The 25,100-nt window shown below is 41.8% G+C and overlaps 1 protein-coding gene and 1 long non-coding RNA gene across 5 annotated transcripts in view; one reads left to right on the plus strand and one right to left on the minus strand.

Annotated features, from left to right (window-relative positions):
- The window catches only part of LOC105369795 (uncharacterized), a 60,653-nt gene extending 37,207 nt beyond the window's left edge, over positions 1-23,446 (plus strand). The window contains exon 3 of one of the 2 annotated variants that reach the window (XR_945016.3): positions 18,528-23,446. This is a non-coding gene — a long non-coding RNA (uncharacterized LOC105369795). Of the gene's footprint in view, positions 1-16,339; positions 16,450-18,527 lie in introns of those variants that run through there. The other variant, XR_945015.3, reaches the window with a different exon arrangement.
- The window catches only part of PPM1H (protein phosphatase, Mg2+/Mn2+ dependent 1H), a 291,157-nt gene that overhangs the window by 233,587 nt on the left and 32,470 nt on the right, over positions 1-25,100 (minus strand). The window lies entirely within an intron of this gene.

The raw sequence follows: 25,100 nt of genomic DNA on the forward strand, positions 1-25,100 counted from the left end.
ATATGATTTTCCTCATTTTTGAGATGAAGCAAACCAAAAAAGTCATATGGCTGTTAAGTGGCCCGGCAGATATCCCCTCTCAGACCCCGGACTGCTTGCAATCTTAAAGCATTCTGTTCCACCTGGCACAGCCACACTGGGTGAATGAATGATTCACATCCACATTTGCTGAGTGAAACCAGGAGAACACACAGGAATGATTCAGAGGTTTGCACTATTAGACATTCAACTCCCAGTCAATGACTATTATTTTGTATTTGCAGGAAAGCTTGCCCAGACATTTTAAATAAAGAAGAAAGAGGTAAGGCAGAAGCCCTCTTTATTTTTTCTTTTTTGAGGCGGGGTCTCGCTCTATCGTCCAGGCTGGAGTGCAGTAGCACAATCTCGGCTCACTGCAAGCTCCGCCTCCAGGGTTCACACCATTCTCCTGTCTCAGCCTCCTGAGTTGCTGAGACTACAGGCGCCCGCCACCACGCCCGGCTAATTTTTTGTATTTTTAGTAGAGATGGGGGTTTCACCATGTTAGCCAGGATGGTCTGGATCTCCTGACCTCGTGATCCACCCACCTCGGCCTCCCAAAGTGCTGGGATTACAGGCGTGAGCCACCGCGCCCAGCCTGAAGCCCTCTATTTTAATGTCTAATACTAAATTCTACTTTGTTCTCAATGCCTGTTTCTATTTTTAAAATGTTACCTATACTGAAAAGGAAACATGTTCTTCATCCCCGCTTTGACCCCCATCAGGGTGTGGCACACGATGGAGATGGAAAGAATCTACCCAGGGCACTATCTGAGAAGAAAATCTCAGGAGGAAATAATACACCATGGTTTGATTCCTCTTATAGAACAGCTGGTTTCAATTTGATACTATTTTTTGCTAATTTTAGTTTTTACTCAAGACAGAAGTAGCTTTAACACTTGATGGTCTGGTTTTTAAAGTGTGTTTTAAGGAATCCTACCAGTCCTAAAAAGGGTCCCATGGGAGGATGGTGGCTGGAGGGTAGGGGTTGGAGTTCTAAGATTTTGTTTGAAACAATGATTACGCTTAAAAAAAAAAAAAAAAAAAAAAAAAAAAAGAGGCCAGGCATGGTGGCTCATGCCTGTAATCCCAGCACTCTGGGAGGCCGAGGCAGGTGGATCACTTGAGGTCAGGAGTTCGAGACCAGCCTGGCCAACATGGCGAAACCCCATCTCTACTAAAAATACAAAAATTGGCCAGATGTGGTGACACGCACCTGTAGTCCCAATTACTCGGGAGGCTAAGGCAGGAGAATGGCTTGAATCCGTAAGGCGGAGGTTGCTGTGAGCAGAGATCGCGCCACTGCACTCCAGCCTGGGTGACAGGGCAAGACTCCGTCTCAAAAAAAGAAAAAAAAAGAAAACTACTGATTGAAGGTATCTGTGAGATAAAAATATTTTCCCTCGTTCAGAGCACCTGCGATGGCAAGTGGATTCTGCTCTGTTGGAAGCTGATTTTGAACAGAATCCATTTTCACCATATAGGCTTGGTCTAGTCAATTTGTACTAACGTCTTACCCTCTAGGTGGGGGCGAGAGCAGGAGGTCCCAATGAGTCACCGTTTAGCAGGAAGTGTTTCTTTCGCTATTTTCCTTCTCTATCCTCCTCTGGAGGCTGTGGTGGATCTTCTCTCCTCCTCAAAATAGATGTAAACGATATGAATAAACCAGGGGTTCAATTCTGGTTGCACATTAGAATATTCTGTAGTGCTTCATGTATGTTTATTGCAGCACTATTCACAATAGCAAAGACTTGGAACCAACCCAAATGTCCACCAAAGATAGACTGGATAAAGAAAATATGGCACATATATACCATGGAATACTATGCAGCCATAAAAAAGGATGAGTTCATGCCCTTTTTAGGGACACGGATGAAGCTGGAAACCATCATTCTCAGCAAAATATCATAAGGACAGAAAACCAAACACCACATGTTCTCAGTCATAAGTGGGAGTTGAACAATGAGAACACATGGACACAGGGAGGGGAACATCCCACACTGGGGCCTGTTGGGGTACGGGAGGTTGGGGGAGGGATAGCGTTAGGAGAAATACCTAGTGTAAATGACGAGTTGATGGGTGCAGCAAACCGACATGGCACATGTATAACTATGTAACAAACTTGCAGGTTGTGCACATGTACCCTAGAACTTAAAGTATAATAATAATAATAAAAAATTAAAAAAATAAAAAAAGAATGTTCTGTAGTGCTTAAAACTGGTATTGCTGGCCAGGCGCCTCTGCACACTAATTAAATTGGAATCTCTGGGAAGTTGGGTCAGCTTTAGCATTTCTGAAATATGCCTCAGGTGATTGTGCTGGGCAACTAGGGTAGACAGCCTGGATTAGACACTCTATTCTAAAGTCATTTATGCCACAGGCAAATGTCTACAGGTCTGCCAAATTATATTATTGAAGATCTTTATTTTTCAAAACCTACAAACTTTAAAAGCTGACCTTTGGAAAATGAATTTTACTCTGACTTAAGCATGCTCATTGAAAGGAGAGAGAGAGAAAAAAGTTGTTAAAATAGAACAATTATACATGTATACATATGCATATACACACACACATAAATACCTCTCTGATATAATTTAGATGTAATTTAGTAGAAAACAGACATCTTCCCAATTGAGAGCAGCCTGCATTGTGAAATACTGCTCTAACAAAGTCAATGAATTAATTTGCAAAGATCAAGTTTGGCCAGGATGATTGTTGGGGCAGGGTATTAGGTGCCCTCTTCATTTGGCCAATTACTACACATCTCAGAGATTGTAACTTCCATTATTTCTTTGTGAACCCTTGCTGAGCCCCAAGACTAGATCGGGGGGCTTCCCCTGCCTGCCAGAACCCAGCAGGCACTTGAGTTTGCAACCCCCAGCCTGGAAGCTGCACCATAAAGGCATGCACACTTATACACTTGAGGGGAGACAATCTGATTTCCCCCAGTGCACGTCGTGATTACCCTCCATCAGCACTCCCGATTCCATTCTCCTTGTGTCTTCCTCTGACTGGGAATCAGCTGTAAAGCTGGCCTCATCTGCTCCTCCCCAGGCTGGGAAGAGAAAATTGTGTCATTCTGCAGACTTATGCCACCACAATTCTTTCACTTGTCCCGTGCTCAGCTCCACCTCAAAACATTTCTAAGTAGCTAAGCCTGTTTTTCTCTCTTCCTTCCTCAACCCCTTATGTGTGAACATTCCCTTCTCCAGGTGCTCGCCCTGCTACCCCAGATGATCCACCGAGTGGAGTCACCTGGTTCTAACTACCATGCATATGTTGGGGAACCATCCTCTGTGTCTGCAGCCCAGACTCCTAATGAGCTCTTGGACCCACGTTCGTGAGCAGGATACATGATGGTCCACAGGCACTTCAGAACTTCAGCAAGCCACAGAACTCATCAGTTACTCCCCTCCACCCTCGAATGGTGTCCCCTTGTAACTCCAATCTCAGTGATCTAACATAAGAAGGCACAAAGTTGCCCTAGTTAAGAAAACTGGGAGTCATCTGTGATGGCTTTGTGGTGTCATTTTGGCCAGGCTAAACAATATCCCCATAATTCCCTTTCTAGTATGTTTCTGATTAGGGTGGGCTACAAGGAAGACCTTCTCCTGAAAGTTGGTAGATGGAAGGGAGATGTGGCCGTCTGTAGCACCCACATACACTCACTCAAATATGCAATCCAACATGAATCTAGGTGCTGCTGTGAAGGGATTTTGCAGATGTAATTAAAGTCCCTAATCAGGTGACTTTATAGGAGATTATGCTAAATAAGCTGATAATCAGTGGAAGGCAGAGAGGAGAGAGAGATAAAAAGAGAAAAGGGAAAGAAGACAGGAAGGAAGGGGGAGGGGGGAAGAAAAAGAAAGAGAAAGAATGTTGCAGGAGAAAGGGAGGAAAAAGAATTGCTTCCTACCTGTGGGCAACAAGATTCAGCCTATGGGATTCCAAATTGCCTAGCCAGTTCTCAATTGCATAAGCCAATTCCTTGCAATGCATCCCTTTAATTCATACATATCTAGATACCCACATATTCACTTTGTAGCTACTTGTTCTGTTTCTCTGGTTGAACCCTGACAAACCCTGACATCAATGTTTCCTCTTCCCTCCTCACCTCAGCTCAAATCAAGTTGATTCCATCTCTTCAATAGTTCTCTGATTCAATCCCTCCTCTCCAGAAACAGGGTCAATGCCTTAGTTCCAGCTGCCATCGCTTGCTTGGCATAATGCAAAACCCACCTACACTGGTCTCCCTGCCTCTGGTTTCCCTCTTCACCAATCCACTCTCCAGATCAGCCTTGTTCAACAGAAGCTTCTATGATGGACATGTTCTAGATCTGTCCTGTCCAATCTAGTAGCTACCAGCTACATATTTAACAGCACAATTCTAGACTATCAGGGTTTTGTCCTAAAAAAATCCAAGAAACATGCCAAATAATTCAGACATTTCTCAAAAACAAAGTAAGTCAAATACTGGAAACTGTCCAACAATACTAATAAATAAAATGAAAGTAAATCTATACATATGCAAAAGATGAGGGAATATATTAAGCTATGGTGATGAACTCTGTGTATTGAAACTCTTCAACTCATTCAATAAATGATTGCTAAGCATCTATACACTATGTGCCAGGTGCCCTGCTAGAGTCTGGAGATTGTAGACTGGACAGTCCCTGTTTTGCCACCCTACAGAGGCTTTACATACCAGATTGAGTAGCTACGCAAAGTCTATCCTGTGTGGTGAGAGGTATAACAGGTGCTAGAGCTGGGGCAGGCAGCCAAGGCTTTGCCCCAGGGCACTGACCTTTCGAGAACCCCAAAGCCAGATAACATGTAATTGTAAAAACCACATATTTAAAGCCCCTCCAGTCCCAGATGCACCTCTAGCAGCTTCTAGGAATGGACAGAGCTAGAGACTTGGATCAGACGCAGCCCAAGAGTCCTTGGAAACAGGGGCAGAGTGGGGCTGTCCCACTTGTATCCCTTTCGTTGCAAGGACAAAGCACCATTCTCCTTGCTCCACGTTCCAAAATGGTAAGCTAGGTCCTGCAGGGTCCCTAAGGGAGTCAACAGAAGGGCAAACCCAAACCCGGGTCAAGTATTTCTTCTTTGTTGTTTTCTGTGCTTTCTGGTATTTTTATAATAGAAATATTGCTTTATTTCAGAAATGCAAGTCTGATGTCACTTCTGTTTAAAAATTCCTTAGAAATACTGAGCAATTTTCCAAACTGTCTCACATATACCCCCAGTGCGGTTTCATGCCTCAGTGCCTTTGCACGTGCAGCTGCTTCTGCTTGGTATGGCCACCCTCCACCCCCACCGCCACTCCCCAGCCCCATCTGTTTAGCAAAGGCCTATTCAACCTCTGAAACTCAGCCTAAATAGCTCTCCTGTGAAATGTTTCACTCCTCAGAAAGAATCACTGTAGTATATTTATTTATTTCTGTGAGTAACCTCCACTAAAATGTATACTTCTTGAGGTCAGAAACTGTTTTTGCTAGCCCAGCACCTAGCCCTGAATCTGGTATTACAGAAGAAAGGAGCTTCTCATACCACCCTCCTCCATCCTGCTCACTTCTGCCTACCTGCAGCTCACCTCTCAGACATACAAGGGATGGGGAGAAGTTGCTAATCTGCTTCCTCTGAACACAGGATGCTGACAGGCCACCGTAACCAGCCATGGAGTAGTGGGGTCTTATGAAGCAGGAACTCGGGACTCCCAGCTGAACCAGTACTGCCCCCACCCATTACCCCCGGGCTCCATGAGTGGATCAATGGACTCAGTGGCCTTTAATCTGAGTTAGGGTGCAGTACTAGATGCTTTTGAAGCTTCTCATGAAGTAGATTCTGAGTCCCAAGTTAGAAAGCCTCCCAGAACCTCAAAGCAGGGCATGAAGTATTGGCAGGGCACAATATAAATATTCATGACCCTTGGATAAATTACATCAACATAGCACCCAAACCTGACCATCGATCTCTAACATGAGCAATACGGCAAACCATGTTTGAAAAGACTAACCTGCTTGTAGTAAGAACATACTAGAAGCAAGAAAGCCTAGATTCTGATCGTGGAAAACCTGTGCACCATTAACAGTCTCCACTTTGTCACTTGTAAAATGAATGCACTGAGGATAGAGTCAACTATCCTGATTATATGGCAGTTTGAGTTTTCAAAAATACCTTGCCAGGACCCAAACCAACAATTCAAAGCTCAGGAATTAGTGCCAGCAGGAGGCATTTCCTCACATAATTGCATCCTTCTCAGACAGCTGGATTCTGTGTCATTAGAAGAAGAAAAAAGACAACAGAGTCTGAGGTCTATTTCTTAGATTCTCAGTATTCTGTTACAGCTTCGCATGCACGTGACAAGTCACCTGGAGAGGCCCCTTCGACAGAGATGAGAACAAACAGACAAAAGAGATGAGAACAAACAGACAAAAGTCCCAGAGGGAATCACACCACACACTATTAATGTGACCAAACTTGAACTCAAATGTTCAGATTACACTGCCTGGTGACCCCCGTCCCTGGCAAATCAGTGAGATGAAATCTCTTACAGATACTGAATTTGTACTAGTTGATTGCTTATCACGAAATATGAAGTATAGACTGGGCACGGTGACTCAAACCTGTAATCCCAGCACTTGAGAGGCTGAGGCAGACAGATCACCTGAGGTCAAGAGTTCGAGACCAGCCTGGCCGACATGGTGAAATCCTGTCTTGACAAAAGCACCAAAATGAAAAAAAAAAAAAATAGTCAGGCATAGTGGCAGGTGCCTGTAATCCCAGCTATTTGGGAAGCTGAGGTAGGAGAATCACTTGAACCCCAGAGGCAGAGGCTGTGGTGAGCTGAGATCATGCCACTGCACTCCAGCCTGGGCAACAAGAATGAAACTCCATATCAAAAAAAAAAAAAAAAAGAAAGAAAGAAAGAGAGAAAAGAAAAAAAAGAAATATCAGGTGTAATTTCACCTTGATTTATTAAAAATAAGAGACCTATTAGGAATGGGTGGATCCTGGAACAGAAGACAAGACAGTGGAAAAGCTGGTTCTGAACAAAGCTCATACTTTAGTTAATAGTAGTTATACGGTATTGTGTATTGGTTTTCTACTACTAGGTAACAATTTACACAAACTTACAACACATGTTTATTATCTTGTTTCTGTAGGTCAGAAATTTGGGCATGGTAGAGTTGAATCTCACAAAACTAAAATTAAGGTGTCGGCACATCAAGGTTCTCATTTGGAGATTGAGGTTCACTTTCAAGTTCATCCTGGCTGCTGGCAGAACTCAGTTCCTTGCAGCTGCAGTATTGAGGGTGTATTAGTCTATTTTCATGCTGCTGATAAAGACACACCCGAGTCTGGGAAGAAAAAGAGGTTTAATTGGACTTACAGTTCCACATGGCTGGGGAGGCCTCAGAATCATGGCGGGAGGTGAAAGGCACTTCTTACATGGTGGCGACAAAAGAAAATAGGGAAGAAGCAAAAGTAGAAACCCCTGATAAACCCATCAGATCTCATGAGACTTATTCACTATCACGAGAATAGCACAGGCAAGACCAGCCCCCATGGTTCAATGATCTCCCCCTGGGTCCCTCCCACAACACATGGGAATTCTAGGAGATACGATTCAAGTTGAGATTTGGGTGGGGACACAGCCAAACCATATCAGAGGGCCCTGTTTTCTTGTTGGCTATTGGTCTCAGCTCCTAGAGGACACCTGGCTCCTTCCTTAGGCAGTTCACAACAGGGCTCTTCCCTGTTGCTAGGACAGCAAAAGAGGGTTGGCTGCTGCTTCTTGTCTCTCATAAGGGCTCATCTGATTAGGTCAGGCCCACCTGGGATAAACTCCCTTTTGAATACTCAGAGTCTACTGATGAGAAACCTTAGTTACACAGCAAAATCCCTTCTACCATATAATGTACCACAATCACAGTGTGCTAGTCCATCATATTCACAAGTCCTGCCCACACTCAAGGGGATTACACAGGGCACACACAGTAGAGGGCTGGAATCTTGGGGGTCAACTTATAATTCTGCCTACCATAGGTACTCATGTCAATTTCTTAGTTTTGATCATTATACTATGTTTATGTAAGACGTTAACAACTGTGGAAACAGGAAAATACTGAATGATTTTTGTCATTTTTCTGTATCTCAAACTGAAAAATTTTAAAACATGGAATACTCATGTGCTGTGAATTAACACAATAATTTGCATATCTGTGCCATCTTCTCTTCTGGCTTATGTTGCTATGTTGAATTTGCCAGTTCATGAAATATCAGGTATCATTTCACCTGCTTATAGTAACATCAGGGCTATAAAACTTCTCTAAAGTCACACATCAAATCAAATTAGTGAGATAAGCCTTACAGAACACCACAGTGCTACTGCTTTACCTTAAATAAAGGTGAATAGTCCAGAATTCAAGATAACCCTTACAAAAAGGCTATGTGAAAGGCTACTATACATCTACAGTCAATATTTTTTCAAGTATAAAGTTTCTCACCAGTGCACTGCCTTTGGTTAGCCCAGTTGCTTTTTAAACGTTTCATCACTATTGTCTTTGGGCCTTTATATCTCATATGGTTTCTGACACTCTACGCCATGACTATCTTTAGTAAGCAAGCATCACATCAGACACATGTGCACACACAGTCTCTATATAACTTCTGAGTACCAAATCTCTGTTAATTGGAGATACCCTCTGTTATAGGTAATTTACAAAACTATGTACTATGCTCTCAAAGAATAAGGTGTTAATCCAAGTTATTTTGTGCATTTTGGATGTGTACAATCTCATATAACTGGATTATCCGATTAAAATTCTATGGTTGGAAAAGTGCTGTATTTTTTTTTTAACAATAAACAGCAGAAACTGAACAGTAGCACTGAAAGCATCTAGTCACTCTGTTAGGAATGTCTACACCTCCTCAGAGAATATCTATGAATGCATAAGACCTTATTTTCTAACCTTGCTGGCTGCAAGATGTTACCAGAAATGTCAATCAATCAGAAGAAATTTAACTAATTCACAAAACTTCTAAAATTTCACTCCAAAGTATTTCATTATCAGAAGTGACAAATCAGGGTAAGCAGCTCAACACAATTATTTCATCACAGGAATGTCTTTAAATAGTTGTCACATACAGAATATTTGGGACTTTTCAAATCTTTAAAAACTCAATTTATGCAGAGAGAAAGGCATGAGAAAGCCTGGTAAGGGCCAGAACTGCTGAAACAAAGGGTTTGCCACTGCGGTTTTAACTCAGTAAAGGATGGAATCATGTTGGCATTTAGAAAGCAAAACCCGGTGGCAGGTAGGCTGGAGGGGAAAGCGATGGGAAGACCAGCCTGCCTACCTAAAAGTGGCTATCTAAGCCAGAAATGAGGAAGCACTGCTGTACAGGGGGACAGGAAGTGAGACAGAGAACTGGCCGAAGAATGAATGGGGACTCCATTAAGAAGCTGTATACAAGGACTCCGGCCAGTAGACTGGATGTGGAGAAAGAGGGAGGTGCCATGTTTCTCACCGGCTGAGACAGAGGGACAGTAGACATTTCCACAGACAGGCCAAGTGAGATGAAGGCAGAAAATACACTGGTAGTACAGGGTAAGAGAAGTGGTCACAGAGTTGCATAGAGTGTGTCCAATTAACAAAAGTGCAGCTTCCAAAAGTTCATGTATGAAACAAATCTTTCTTAAACATCTACCATGTGTCAGTTACAGTACTAGACTTTGGAATACAAAGATATCTAAGATGTGGACCTTGCTGCTCCTTAGGAATCTAGCCAGCCTAATGACGGACATGTAAAACACGTTTTCATGTTCAAGTGACAATTGCCAATGCTTATTGAGCAGTTATTAATGTACCAGGCATGATGCTAGGAGCCTTAATTGCATTTGTTTATTCACTTGACATATTTATTAAGCACTATACTAAGTGCTAGGCTGTTTTAGATTCTAAGAATATTATACTGAATCAGACAGCCAAGGACCCTGCTCTCATGGTGCTTATTTTATTTGTGGGAAACCAGACAATAAATAAGTAAATAATGAGCGAGGTGATTTCAAATAGTGGTATGCACAGGGAAGACAAGGAGGAAGATACGACTGCATTGGGGGAAGGGTAGACTTGTACTAAATATAGGTGATGGTCATGGAGGGCCACAAAGAGCACATCTGAACTCAGACCTGTAAGACAAGGAGGTACCCACTGGCAAAGGCAATGGCAGTGTTCCAGGCTGAGGGGAGAGCAACTGCAAAGGTCTGAAGTGGAGGCAAGTTTGCATGGTTAGAGAACAGAAATGAAGCCAGGGTGACTGGAGCTGGGTGGCAATGCTCCTCAAGGTGGTCAAGGACCTAGAAGCCACAGAAGGGCATGCAAGCATGAGCGACATGATCTGACATTTTTCAAGATCATTCTGGGAGCTGAATGTGGTATGAATGGATGCAGGAAAAGCAGTTAGGAGTCCAGAAGAGGCTGTAGTGAAGATGGAGAGAAGAGGATGATTATGGCATATGTTTCAGAGGTGGAGACAAAAGAACACGCTGATGAGGGGGATGATGATGAGACAAAGAACAGAGCCTGAGTATCCACTTCATCAACTAGGTGGATGGTGGCACCATTTGCTGAAATTTATAAAATGGAGGGAGAGGCAGGAATTACAGGAAAGGGAACAAAGGCATTGAAAATTCAGAGCTCTGCCCATGAGGAAGAAGCCAAGGGGAGTCGTCCAGTAGTTGTTTCAGTCAAGGGTCTGGAACTCAGGGCTGGGGACACACATTTGGTCACCATCTACCTATGAATGGTATTTAGAGACACTGGAATAAAAAAGACTGGAACCGAGAAACAAGCCCTGGTTGTTCAGACAAAGGAAGAGCCAGCAAAGGAAACTTCAGACACAGCATCCCAGGAAGACAGAAGAAAACCAAGAAACTATCGTCAGAGATGCCAACATAAGAAAAGGGTGTTTCAAGGAGGAAGTGGGCCATGGAGCTATAATACTGCTAAATAAATAATCTTGCAAGGAACCCCTGTATTTTGTAACACGGAAGTCACTGGTGACATTATAAAAAACAGTTTCAAGGGCAAGTTAGGGAGGAAGTCTGGATAAGGGTCGGGGAGAGGAGAGAATGGAATATAAGGTAAAACAAGGATATACAAGCAACTTTACAGGCATTTACCCAGATTTTCCCATTTGATCCCCACAATTAAGTCCATTTTACAATTGAGAGGATACTTGGCTAAAGTCTTGTGAGTGATGCAAGGTGACGAAGCCAGAATTAGGAACCTCCAGAGAGATTCCAGAGCTCGCATTCTTTAACACTAATGTGGAACTTCAAAAAGTTGCGTATGACATAAAGGAGGGTTTGTGGTAAACTATGCCCATGGTTGTCAAACTAAACTACCTAGAATCCCTAGCAATGACTCTTTAGAAACTGTGGCCCAAACTGATTAGAAACCAGGCCCAAGAGTTAGCTGCCTGTCCACCTGCAGTCTTAACCCACTTCCATTCCACAGTCAGAATTTCAAAATCAAAATCAAGAGGTTCTTGGAAGACCCAATATTGTCATGATATCAGATATTCCCAACTTGATCTACATACTCAATGCAATTCCAATCAAAATTTCAGCACATTATTTTGTGGATACTGACAAACTGATCCTAAAGTTTAAATGGGAAGGCAAAAGACCCAGAATAATCAATACAATACTGAAGGAAGAAGAAGAACAAAGAGGGCTGACACTACCTGACTTCAAGACTTATAGCTGGGCACTGTGGTGTGTACTTGCTATAGTCCTAACTACTCACAAGGCTGAGGCGAGAGATTACTTGAGCCCAGGAGTTCAAGTCCATCTGGGGTAACATAGCAAGATCCTGTCTCTAAAAAAATTTAAAAAATATATATATAAAAATATAATGTAAAGTTACATTTATCAAGAACGTCTAGTGTTGGCAAATGAACAAATACCAGTAGACCAACGGAACAGAAGACAGAGCCCAGAAATAGACCCACATAAATACAGTCAACTGATCTTTGACAAAGGAGCAAGAGCAATACAATGGAGCACAGATAATCTTTTCAACAAACCGTGCTGGAACAACTAGAAATCCACATGCAAAAAAATGACTCTAGACACAGATTTTACACATTTCACAAAAATTAATTTGAAATGAATCGCAAACCTAAATTTAAAACACAAAACTATAAAACTTCTAGAAAATAACGTAGTAGAAAATCTACGTGGCCTTGAGTTTGGCAATGAGTTTTAAAATACAATGTCAAAGGTACGATCTCTGAAAGAAATAATTGATAAGCTAGACTTTATTAAAATTAAGATTTCTGCTCTGCAATAGACACTGTCAAGAAAATGGAGAGACAAACCACAGACTGGCAGAAAATATTTGCCAAAGACATATCTGGTAAAGGATTATTATTGAAAACATACTAAGAACTCTTAAAACTCAACAATAAAAAAACAGCCTGATTAGAAAATGGGCCAAAGACTTTATCAGGCATCTCACCAAAGATAAACAGAAGGCAAATAAACATATTAAAAAGTGTTCCAGGTTGGACATGCCGGTGGCTCATGCCTGTAATCCCAGCACTTTAGGAGGCTGAAGTAGAAGGATCGCTTGATCCCAGGTATTTGAGACCAGCCTGGGCAACATTGGTGCAACCCCATCTTACAAACAAAAAAATAAGCCAGGTGTGGTTGTGCACACCTGTAGTCTCAACTACTCAGGAGGCCGAAGTGGGAGGAACGCTTGAGCCTGGAAGGTCAAGACTGCAGTGAACAATGATCGTGCCAATTTTGTGTGTGGGTTGAGTGAATATGGGAAATCTCTGTGCTTTCTGCTCAATTTTGTTGTGAACCTAAATCTGTTCTAAAAAATAAAGTCTATTTGAAAAATAAAAGGGTTCCTGAACATTTACCATCTGTAGACATTGTTATGAAAGAATTGAGGGTAAGTTTTAGCAGCCCCGAAAGGTAAACAGCTATTAGCAACTGAAAAACATCACGTTATTTTGAAATCTTTCAATAAGTGATTAATGGAGTCAACACTTATTGATTGGGAATATATATAATATCATTTCGTGTGTGTGTATACACACACACACACACACACACACACACACACACACACATATATATATATGAATGAAACAGCAAGAAAACATGTCTAACACTTAACTCCTTTAAGACTTGACTGTTTGAAGGCCAGGCGTGGTGACTCATGCCTGTAACCCCAGCACTTTGGGAGGCCAAGGCAGGCGGCTCACCTGAGGCAGGAGTTCAGGACCAGCCTGACTAACATGTTGAAATCCCATCTCTACTCAAAATATCAAAATTAGCCGGGCGTGGTGGTGGGCGCCTGTAATCCCAGCTACTTGGGATGCTGAGACAGGAGAATCGCTTGATCCCAGGAGGTGGAGGTTGCAGTGAGCCAAGATCACGCCATTGCACTCCAGTCTGGGCAACAGAGCAAGACTCTCAAAAAAAAAAAAAAAAAAAAAGACTTGGCTGTTTGAATTCTAGAGCATATTTTTCCTTAAAAGTGATGTAAGTTCTTCATAATCTTGTTACACACTCTCTCTGGGAAAATGCATTCCATATACGAATGGAAATACTCATATCATACCTATATGGGAAACTCCATAAAAGCAGCAATCATAAAAGGCTCAGTGCCTGGTACATTTATCCAGTCTAAGATCAACCAATAAGATGAACCATTAGTTTACAGACTGCTAAGAAAGCCAAGTAAACTGATACAATGCTTTCTTTTCATTTACAATTATTGAAGAAGCTTTTAGATAATTAGATTTTTCCATGTGTCAACCATGTACCTACATGAAAATTAAAATAAGTTGGCCAAGATTTTCTTAACACATCTTCACCTGCCCAGTTTGCCTCTTCTCAATCATTTTAACTCAGATGCTAATGTCCATTTCTTCCATCATATGCTCCACTATTGTCTCTGGGACATTTTTCTAGCTGTCCTATACTCAATATGCCAGTTTTGAGGCTGGTGCTTTTTTGTTCTTACCTAGTATCACGACAGAGGGCCTTTAGAATAACTAAGACTCATATCTTTGGTGACTAAAAGTGCCACAAGGTTAGCAGTTGTCGAGTCTTGCCGAAAGAATTACAAGTGGATCACTATACTCTTCAGTGAATATATTCTTTACTGTTCAGATACACATCTGTGAAAGCGATCAAGAACCTATATACTGGGTGAGTTATATGGGGGCTCTGGGACATCTGTTCCAGACTACTGAGTCATTTCTTCTTCAGTTTGGCTGAAGTGTGTGTGTGCATGTGTATGTGCAGGCGTGTAGATAAACGATAACATCTTTGGGTAAGAACTCTTAGGAATTGTTTTGCAGTTTATGATTAACTTATGGCTACAACTTTCAGCCACCACCAATTGTGCAAAGTATCACAGAAACTTTTCACAGCCTCTGCTCATGCCTTTGATCTCTGTAGTACCTTTAACATTTCAAAAAAAATTTACAGCCTTTTAAAGCACACTGAGTTTTTATCAGCATTTCCTATCTGTCTAAATTCAACTTTTTTTCCCAGTTAAATCACTAGAAAATAAGTAGCTACAGTTCAAAGTCAGCAGGAAGTTTGATAAATTGATGTTCTACGCTTCAACAACAGTCCTGTGTAACCTATGAATTGGACATACCAGCCTCTTACTGCTTTGAAATTCCTTTCATCTCTTTGAAGAGATCTACCAATTTTTCCTGCTTTCAGTTGCATAATTTGTCACCTAGGACGCAATACTTTTGCCATAACTCTGTAACACAGCTTCAGCTACTTGTCTTCTGCCTCAGGCCCTCCACAGTTCCTGGTTGCTTCTTTGCAAAAATAGCAACTGAGGTCATTCTTGTACAAAAATTTGCTTCACTAATCCCAAATTTACATCCTGTTGCTCTACTTCTATAACTTTCTACACATATAAACCCGTTTTTAAATTTTGAGTCACAATTTAAAATATTTGAAGATATTTTATATGCAACTAAACTCAATATGTGTTTACCAACAGTATACATCAACACAATTGTTATGTCCAAATTTGCACAAGCTCACATAATGACAATGACTTATCATTGCCATCTAGTCAATGGTGATAAGATGCTATCAACAGTAAATACATCCTGATTTCAGAGAAATTAAAATGTGGGGGCAAATGTACATTTCAAAAGTAAGGCATAAGTGGATACTCCTTTAATTTATGTAAAAAAATCATTTCCAAAAATGGACATCAGAAATTCCTCCCATCTCTGTATAGACATGCCATTCCTCCCATCAAGAAACAAAGTCCTGGTCCCTCACTTGTGACTTGCTTTCAGCAACAGAACATGGCAGAAGTGAGATTCTGAGACTTTAAGCTCAAGTATTAAGAAGCTTGGGCTACAGTCTAGAGAAGGGGTTGGTGAACTATGGTCCAGTGGGTCAAATCTGGTCTGTTTTTATACTGCCTCTGAGCTAAGGATAGCTTTCATATTTTAAAAGAGTTTTAAAATAAGAAAATATGTGACAGAGATCGTATGGGCCCCAAAGCTATGAGGCCTAAAGTATTTACTAACTGGCTGTATTTATTTGCTAGGGTTGCCTTAACAAAATACCACAGACTCAGTGGCTTCAACAACATAAATTTGTACCTTCACAGTTCTGGAGGCTAAAAGTCCAACATCAAGATGTCAGCAGAGTTTATTTCTTCTGAGGCCTCTCTCCTTGAAGGTGGTCTTCCCTGTCTGCATGTCTGTGTACTAATCTCCTTTTCTTATAAGGATATCAGTCATATTGAGTCATAATGAATTAGGGCCCACTTGACCTCATTTAACCTTTTTTTTTCTGAGACAGGGTTTCACTCTGTTGCCCTAGCTGAAGTGCAATGACATGATCATGGCTCACTGCAGCCTCTATTTCCTGGGCTCAAGCAATCCTGCCACTTCAGCCTCCCAGGTAGCTGGGACTACAGATGCATGCCACCATGCCTGGCTAATATGTGTGTGTGCGGGGGGGAGGGGGTGTGGTTTTTCTTTTTCAGGTAAAGACAAGGTTTACCATGTTGCCCAGGTTGGTCTTGAGCTTCTGGCCTCAAGTGATCCACCTGCCTCAGCCTCCCAAAGTGCTAGGATTACAGGTGTGAACCACCACACCCCGCGTTCATTTAATCTGAATTACCTCTTTAAAGGCCCTATCTCCAAATATAGTCACATTCTGAGGTACTAGGGGTTAGGACTTCAACATATGAATTTTGGGGGACACAATTCAGCCTTTAACACTGGTCTTTTTCAGAAAATGTTCCCAATCTCTGGGCCACACTATTGAATGAGAAGAGACCAGGTGGAGAGAGAGGCTCAGCCAGACATCAGCCATTACAGCTTCACACTAGCTAGACGTGCGAATAAAGCCCCCTTGGATGGTCCAGCCACAGCCAAGCTCTCAGCTAAATGCAGCCACCTAAGCGACTCCTGACAATACAATGTAGAGCAGAGACAAGCCATCTCATTGAACCCCATCAAAACTGCAGGCTCATGATCAAATAAATGGTTGTGTTTAAGTCACTAAGTTGGGAGTGTTTTAAACTCAGCAATAGATGACGGGAATAACTTCCGTGGCAGAGGCCCCAGGATAGGAGCTCCCAGGCATGGAACCAAAAGGGAGAAGGGCTTTTTATAGGGGTGACAGCAAAGGAAGAGTTGGGATAAAAGGCAAGGGCAAGAATATACAGTAGCCAAGACCCAAAAAGGTATTTAGATGAGAACGTTGCTCCTCGTGTTAACAAGGAACTCTCCTAGTATGTATATTGAAAGTAGGGTTGTATCAGAGAGTAGATGGCTGCAGTGAAAAGGACAAAAGCCCCAAAACAAATCCCAGGAAACATCCAGGTTCTGCCTCAAATTAGCTTTGGTAAGATACTTATACTCTTAGCTGTTCCGTGTCCTCATCTATAAAACAGGGACAATACAACCTACCTCCCAGATTTAAAAATATTAGACATAAAAGTATGCAGTCCTTAGCATAGCACTGGACAAATGGTAGGCATACCACCTTGTCTGTGTTTCAGTCTTTCCAAAAGATGTAATGCCTATCCTATTTGAAAGGCTTATTCATAAGTTCAAATTTGCTAGGCGCCGTGGCTCACGCCTTTAATCTCCACATGTTGGGAGGCCAAAGAGGAAGGCTCAATTGAGCCCAGGAGTTCAGATTCAATAAAACACACAAAAATGGTTTGAAAGGTATTAAGCCCTACCAAATAATACGATTGCAATATATTAAAATACAATTTTTATTGTTGGGGGCTGCATGGCAACTTTGTAAAACTTAAGTATATCTGCATAATTGTTTTTATATAGTTACTGTTAAAGTTACCAGCATCAGTTGTTTATTCTAGTTATTCATCTCCATCTTCAGAAAGGAAGGTCAGCACAGGATCTGAAGAAGGAAAATGAAGATAGGAGGAACTTCATAACTCCATTCTTTTTTTGTGTTTCAGCAACACCCCCGTCTATTTAGCGGGGCATCCCCAGAGCAGTTCCACTATGTGTCCTCTTTATCACCAGCGGGACTTAGCACTGGGCTTGGTATAAAAGAGATACTGAATATTTACTGAACATAGAAGAGAGGGCAAGCCAATAGTCTCAGAAAGAATTAAGGAGATATCCCCTTTAATGTGATTTTTACATGCAACTCAATGGTGGTATTGGTTCATTTTGGAAAGATGACCCTAAATGGACAAGTTCAATGACAATCACTGCCCAAACCTATAAGTGCCTATGTTTGAAGGCCAGGGGCACAGGGTAGTGGTTCTCAATGTGTAGTGCTTAGACCAACAGCAGCAGCAGCACCTGGGACTCATTAGAAAGCAAATTCTACTGCCCTACTGCTACGGTTTGCATAGGGTTTGTTTGTTTGACCCCACCAAGTCTCATATTGAAATCTGATCCCCAATGTTGAATGTGGGGCATGGTGGGAGGTGTTTGGGCCATGGGAGCAGATCCCTCACAAATAGATTGGTGGAATTCTCAAGGGAGTGAGTGACTTCTCTTCATTCCTGCAATAACTGGTTGTTGAAAAGAGCCTGGGGGCCTCCTCTGCACTTGCACTCACTTACTCTCTTCCTCTCACGCCATCTGATCTGTGCATATGCAGGCTCCCCTTTGCCTTCCACCATGAGTGGAAGCAGCCTGAGGCCCTCATCAGAAGTGGAGCAGGTGCTGGAGCCATGCTTCTTGTACAGCCTGCAGAACCATGAGCCAACTAAACCTCCTTTCTTTATAAATTACCCAGCCTCAGGTATTCCTTTATAACAAAATAAATAGACTAAGAGACCCACCCAGAACTACCAAGCAAATAATAGTTTAATAAGCCCTATAGGTGATTCTGATACACATTAGAGAATCAGTAGCCTAGGGAAATGCATTTCTATTATCAGCTACATTTGGTAACAAAATGTCTATTCCCTTTGTGTTTCACAAACTAGCTTATTCAGATGATGTGAATACCGGCTAATTATTGCAACGATGTTTGCTTCCAAGCATTAAAAAAATTGCCAGTGTTATGGGCAAGGACTTCATGACTACAACACCAAAAGCAATGGCAAGAAAAGCCAAAATAGACAAATGGGATCTAAGTAAACTAAAGAGCTTCTGCACAGCAAAAGAAACTACCATCAGAGTGAACAGGCAACCTACAGAATGGGAGAAAATTTTTGCAATCTACCCATCTGACAAAGGGCTAATATCCAGAACCTACAAAGAACTTAAACAAATTTACAAGAAAAAATCAAACAACCCCATCAAAAAGTGGGCGAAGGACATGAACAGACACTTCTCAAAAGAAGACATTTATGCAGCCAACAGACATATGAAAAAATGCTCATCATCACTGGCCATCAGAGAAATGCAAATCAAAACCACAGTGAGGTACCATCTCACACCAGTTAGAATGGAGATCGTTAAAAAGTCAGGAAACAACAGGTGCTGGAAAGGATGTGGAGAAATAGGAACGCTTTTACACTGTTGGTGGGACTGTAAACTAGTTCAACCATTGTGGAAGACAGTGTGGCGATTCCTCAAGGATCTAGAACTAGAAATACCATTTGACCCAGCCATCCCATTACCGGGTATATACCCAAAGGCTTATAAATCATGCTGCTATAAAGACACATGCTCACATATGTTTATTGCGGCACTATTCACAATAGCAAAGACTTGGAACCAACCCAAATGTCCATCAATGATAGACTGGATTAAGAAAATGTGGCACACATACACTATGGAATACTATGCAGTCATAAAAAAGGATGAGTTCATGTCCTTTGTAGGGACATGGATGAAGCTGGAAACCATCATTTTGAGCAAACTATCACAAGGACAGAAAACCAAGTATCACATATTCTCACTCGCAGGTGGGAATTGAACAATGAGAACACTTGGACACAGGGTGGGGAACATCACACACCGGGGCCTGTTGCGGGGTGGGGGGAGGGGGGAGGGATAACATTAGGAAAAATACCTAATGTAAATGACGAGTTAATGGGTGCAGCACACAAACATGGCACATGTATACATATGTGACAAACCTGCACATTGTGCACATGTACCCTAGAACTTAAAGTATAATAAAAAAAAATTGCCAGTGTTTTTTCCCTACTCCCTTGTGCCCTCCCCCATTATAAAAATCAAATAAAATAAAACCACAGCCCTTTGCAATTCACGCCACATACACTAATAACAGCCTCAGGCAAGCAGTATCTGTGGGACTCATTTAAATTTTATTTTCGTGGAAGAATAAAGGAAAATTCAACACCAAATCTTTAAGACACACCACTTAATGATTTTGGTGAACAGTCTGAAATAGACAGTTATTGGAGCCTTTGATTAAGACAATACAATGTCTACAATGACCTATCAAGCAGGTGTCCATACCCTGTAAGAACCTTGTCCACACTTCAGCCTCTGATGAAGCATGTATGGGTACACCTTGTGTGTGACAGCCCCAATAGCTGGAATGGTGTGGGATCCCAATGAAGGACACCCAGCCTTGGCATGGCAATCTACCTATGACTTTGTGGCTTGGCTGAAAGATTTCAGCTGGGTCAAGCAGAAGATCTCTTTCAAGACTCTAAACCAAGAAATACAGGAGGGTCTTGCCAACTAACTATGGGAACTAAACCAAGAGAGCAGTGAATTCTCGGGGAGCACCATGAGAAGCCATGATGGGCTACTGCCAAACTGAAGTGATGTGGGGAACAGAAGGTGTAATGGAGTGGGGAAAAGCCAGTCCATCACAAGTGGGGAATAGTGCAGAGATGCAGAAAGAAACAGCCTATCACCAGCAGGAAGGACTGGACAAAGAAACTGACCCTTAGCCTAAAGAAGCCAGGGTACCAACTGTATAGTCCAGCCCAGCCCAGCTTGGGGAACAGTCACTATAGGTCCTCTCCTTCTGCTGCCACCCACACCTCATAAATGAGTTAAACTATAGCACATAATCATCCTTAAATGGTGGCAATAAACACTTCTGCATTTCATTGTCAATGGATGCATAATAGATGCAAAATACTTCCAAGGTTAACTAAATGAATTATTGTAGATGTCTAAAGTGAGGGTGAACTCTGTTTTTTCTTTTAAAATGATCCATCTGTTTATCAAGGCAATAAGTTTTTAAGTTAATTAAGTACGGAGCAGAAAGTCCTCCAAGCAGACACTTTTAATTAATTCTTAATTATGAATGCCCACGTATGTCCTCCAAGTGGCCAAAAATATTCAGTGTGGGGCGACAAAGGAAAAAACGCACTGAAAAGAGAACAGACACCACTCCTGGTTTTGATACTTTTTAGGTTAAATTTACCAAATGTTATAAACAGCTTTAAAAATACTTACCTTTAGGGTGGTTTTCAAAACAGTGCAAACATACACAAATCACAACACACTTCTTAATTTGTTCCTCTTTGTTGTCACGTGTTGCTAAGAGACTGTCTTTTTCAGGGCTCAAATACACAGATTTTTTCCAAATTTAGAAAATAGGCATACTTGCAAAGAAGCCTCAAAAAGGCAGCCAGTTAGAGGTAGAAATTTATTTGGTAATTACCAACCCACATTTCTCCAAACAACTTCCTGAAACATATTACTGAATGCCTGTATGACTCATGGAAACTTCAAAATTGATCATCTCTGGCTCTGTGGCAATCTGCTTTCTTAATTTACATACATTAAAGTTTGTGTACCCTCTACTCCTTACTGAAGGAAAACAGGAAAGTCAACCTTCCACTGAAAGAGAAGCAGCCGTCCACTGGGTTCAGACACTGGGAAGGCCACTGAAAGGCTCGTGTACATCAAGATTTCTCATGAGTGGTTAGGGGATGTTGATCACTCTTAGGGATAAACTGTAATCAAAGATCAGTATGTGAAGCCGGGAACAATAGCATATATTAACAGTAATACGTGTTATTACAGTCATATTCTAGTTCCTTAATTTATACAGTATGTTATTAAACAGATATATCATAGCATAATGGTATCACAAAAGACTACTTTTTCCCTTAAAACTCCTAGGTGCACTTTTGTATGTATTTTTTTATTAGCTATCTGACAGCCTGGGGAAAGACACAAAAAGGCGATAGGTGCCCATGACAACTGGTGATCAAAAAGCCCAACAAAAGCTGGGCGTGGTGGCTCACACCTGTAATACCAGACACTTGGGAGGCCAAGGTGGGAGGACCACTTGAGGCCAGGAGTTTGAGATCAGCCTAGGCAACACAGAGAGACCCCCATCCCTAAAAACACTAAAAAAAATTAAAAATTTAAACTCAATATAACTGAAACTAGATGGTAAATCAATGAGGAAATGGCTAAGTTTACAAAAGTCTGACTGACAAACCTCAGAGACGCACCCCTCTCTTTAAAAAGGATGCACTTTGACATTTTAAAATATCTATGTGCATAGTTATTAAAGAGCTTTTATATGGGCCCCTTAACTAACAGCAGAGAACCGCAGGGACAGGCCAGCTTTGCTGAGACAGATACACAGGCTTTATTTGTTTGCAAAGAAACACAACTGAACTCAACTGTAAAGACAACAAAGCTCAAACAGCCTCAGTCCTCACTAGGGTTTCATGCCAGCCCAACCCCATACGTTTGTAAAGCATTACAGTAACTTTGGAGAGTAGGACTAAAGTAGTCTAGGCTTGCAACAGGCAATGTTTATGTTCACTCCAAATTGATATGTTGAAATCCTAACCTCCAATGCAATGGTATTACGAAGGTGAGGTGAGGGTGGTGCCCTCACAAATGGGGTTACTGCCCTCATAAAAGAGACCCTAGAGAGCTCCTTCACCCTCTTTCAGCCATGTAGGACACAATAGGAAGTCTGCAGTTTACAACCTGGGAGAAGGCCCATGCCAGCACCCTGATCACAGACTGTCAGCCTCCAATACTGTGAGAAATTTCTGTTGTTTATAAGCACCCAGTCTGTGATATTTTGTTATACCAGCTCAAATGGACTAACACCGAGCTGTAGTCTCAGTTCTGCCACTCAGGCAAGCCATTTAGTTTCTCTGAATACTGACTTCCTCGTTTGGATAAGAAGGAAAGGACTCATTGTTCAATTCCCACCTATGAGTGAGAACATGCGGTGTTTGGTTTTCTGTCCTTGTGATAGTTTGCTGAGAATGATCGTTTCCAGCTTCATCCATGTCCCTACAAAGGACATGAACCCTTGGACACAGGAAGGGGGACCTCACACACAGGGGCCTGTTGTGGGGTGGGGTAGGGGGGAGGGATAGTATTAGGAGATATACCTAATGTAAATGATGAGTTAATGGGTGCAGCACACCGACATGGCACATGTATACATATGTAACAAACCTGCACATTGTGCACATGTACCCTAGAACTTAAAATGTAATAATAATAATAATAATAATAAAGAAAGAAGGGAAGAAGAAATGGGAATTTGCTTACCAGTAGTTAAAAAAAAAAAAAAGGAAAGGACTACGTGGAAACGAATGCGGGTGGAGGAGGTACTAATATCTTCTGAGCATCTCCTACAGGCCAACATTGTCCTTATACCATCTAACCTAATCCACATACTAATTCCTGATTTTACAAAAAGGGAAGCCAGGCCAGGGGAGGAAACTGCTCAGTGTCACAGGGGACATAGTACAGATAGGACTTAAGCCCCGGTGTCTGGTTTCAAGGCTATACCCAATTGCTATGCTGACCTTACACATTCTGTTTCCAGAGTTCAAGGACTAATTTGAGCATGCCTTTCTCAATGCCCCTACATATTTCTATTTCCATGTGCTATGATATAATTTCCGAGTCACATCTGAGATCTCACCCTCTCTAAACTCTCTGGTCTTTCCCCCTTACTGCCACCACCACTTAAACCCAGACAAGCTCTGGGAACATAGAGAACTTGGAGAGTCATCCGCCTCTATTTCCATGTAGCCGGATACATTTTTGCATCATGTAGTTTGCTCAGAACACAGCAGAGATTCTAGTCCTGCAAGTTTGGTGCCTTCTAATCACAGCAAAGAGCATTCTGTTGCACAATGAATATTAGTATTCACTGATACCATATGTTCCCAGTGGGCAACAGCCAATCACTTTTTCAAAACCCTTGGGAGGTGAGCTTACATTTACAATGAAGAAATGACAATTATCATCAACCAAATCCAATTAATTCTCAGATTTCTATTTTTAAGTTTCTTGAATTGGAGGAAAAGATTGAATATCATTAATAATGGAACTTACTGTCTAGTTTCATTAAAAGCTTGCCACTTCACAGATGAAATCTGAGGCAAGCCAAAGAGAAATGTTGGCAGTTTGTGCCTTCAGGCAACAGAGGCCTTTTGGGTAAAATTATGTTTTTGTGCTGAGGGGGACTGTCAATAGTACTTGTTCTAAAATTATATACGTCTTTATAGAAATTGCCTCTACAAAAGTGCAATCATATTAATACACACACACTTGCTGTTAAGGCTATCAAGTTAAATTTAAGAAGCAGAGCTATTCTCTAAGTGGGACACATTCTTAACACTCCTAACAGGTAAAGAAAATCCTTCCTATACATGATAGCCAATTAATGACTATTAAAATGCTTTTAGGTGCCATGGTAGGAAGTCCCTGACAGGTAGCTTTGAGCAGAAAGATCCTCTGCTCCAGGCATCCCTGGGGCTCCTGAATGCCATTTGTCCTTGAACCTGCAGGAGGGAAGTGCAAGGAGGACTTGGTTTCAAATGAAGGCAAGCCTCCTTGCCTTCAAGTTCTACCAGCTACTACTTCTGACATTAGCTTCTAAGATTAGAATAAAATGGGATAATAAAACAGAAAACAAATACGAAATAATCCATCTGAAACATGGTTTGCCTACTTTAAAGGGTTCCTCTAAAACCGATTCAGAGGGATGACTAACCAATATATGAAACACTTTAAAATAAAAGCTTTTTGGCCAGGCGCGGTGGCCCATGCCTGTAATCCCAGCACTTTGGGACACTGAGGTGGGCAGATCACGAGGTCAGGAGTTCGAGACCAGCCTGTCCAACATGGCGAAACCCCGTCTCTACTAAAAATACAAAAATTAGCCGGTCGTGGTGGTGGGCATCCCAGCTACTTGGGAAGCTGAGGCAGGAGAATCACTTAAACCCGGGAGGCGGAGGTTGCAGTGAGCCGAGATCGCACCATTGCACTGCAGCCTGGGCAAAAGAGCAAGACTCCAACTCAAAATAATAATAATAATAATAATAAAATAAAAAAATAATAAAAATAAAAGCTTTTTAAAAAAATTTAGGATTTTTAAAACAGTTTACAAAGTTGAGATACTTTAGCACTGTTTGTGACTGCCCAACACTGGAACATTTTCCAGACAAAGCTCTGGATCCCAGGACTCAGCCTTCTTCAGCACAGCCTGATAAGGCTCTCATGGGGTCCCCCCGCCCCTGGGGGTAGCCTACCTGAGTCAAAATCCTGACTCTTCCCCTTGTTGGCTGAGGCCTTGGACAAGTCATTTAATCTCTAAGGGTCCATTCTTCTTCTACATGGTGACAATC

The sequence above is a fragment of the Homo sapiens genome, chromosome 12 (genome assembly GCF_000001405.40).
Source record: "Homo sapiens chromosome 12, GRCh38.p14 Primary Assembly".
In the NCBI taxonomy this organism is placed as follows: Eukaryota; Metazoa; Chordata; class Mammalia; order Primates; family Hominidae; genus Homo; species Homo sapiens.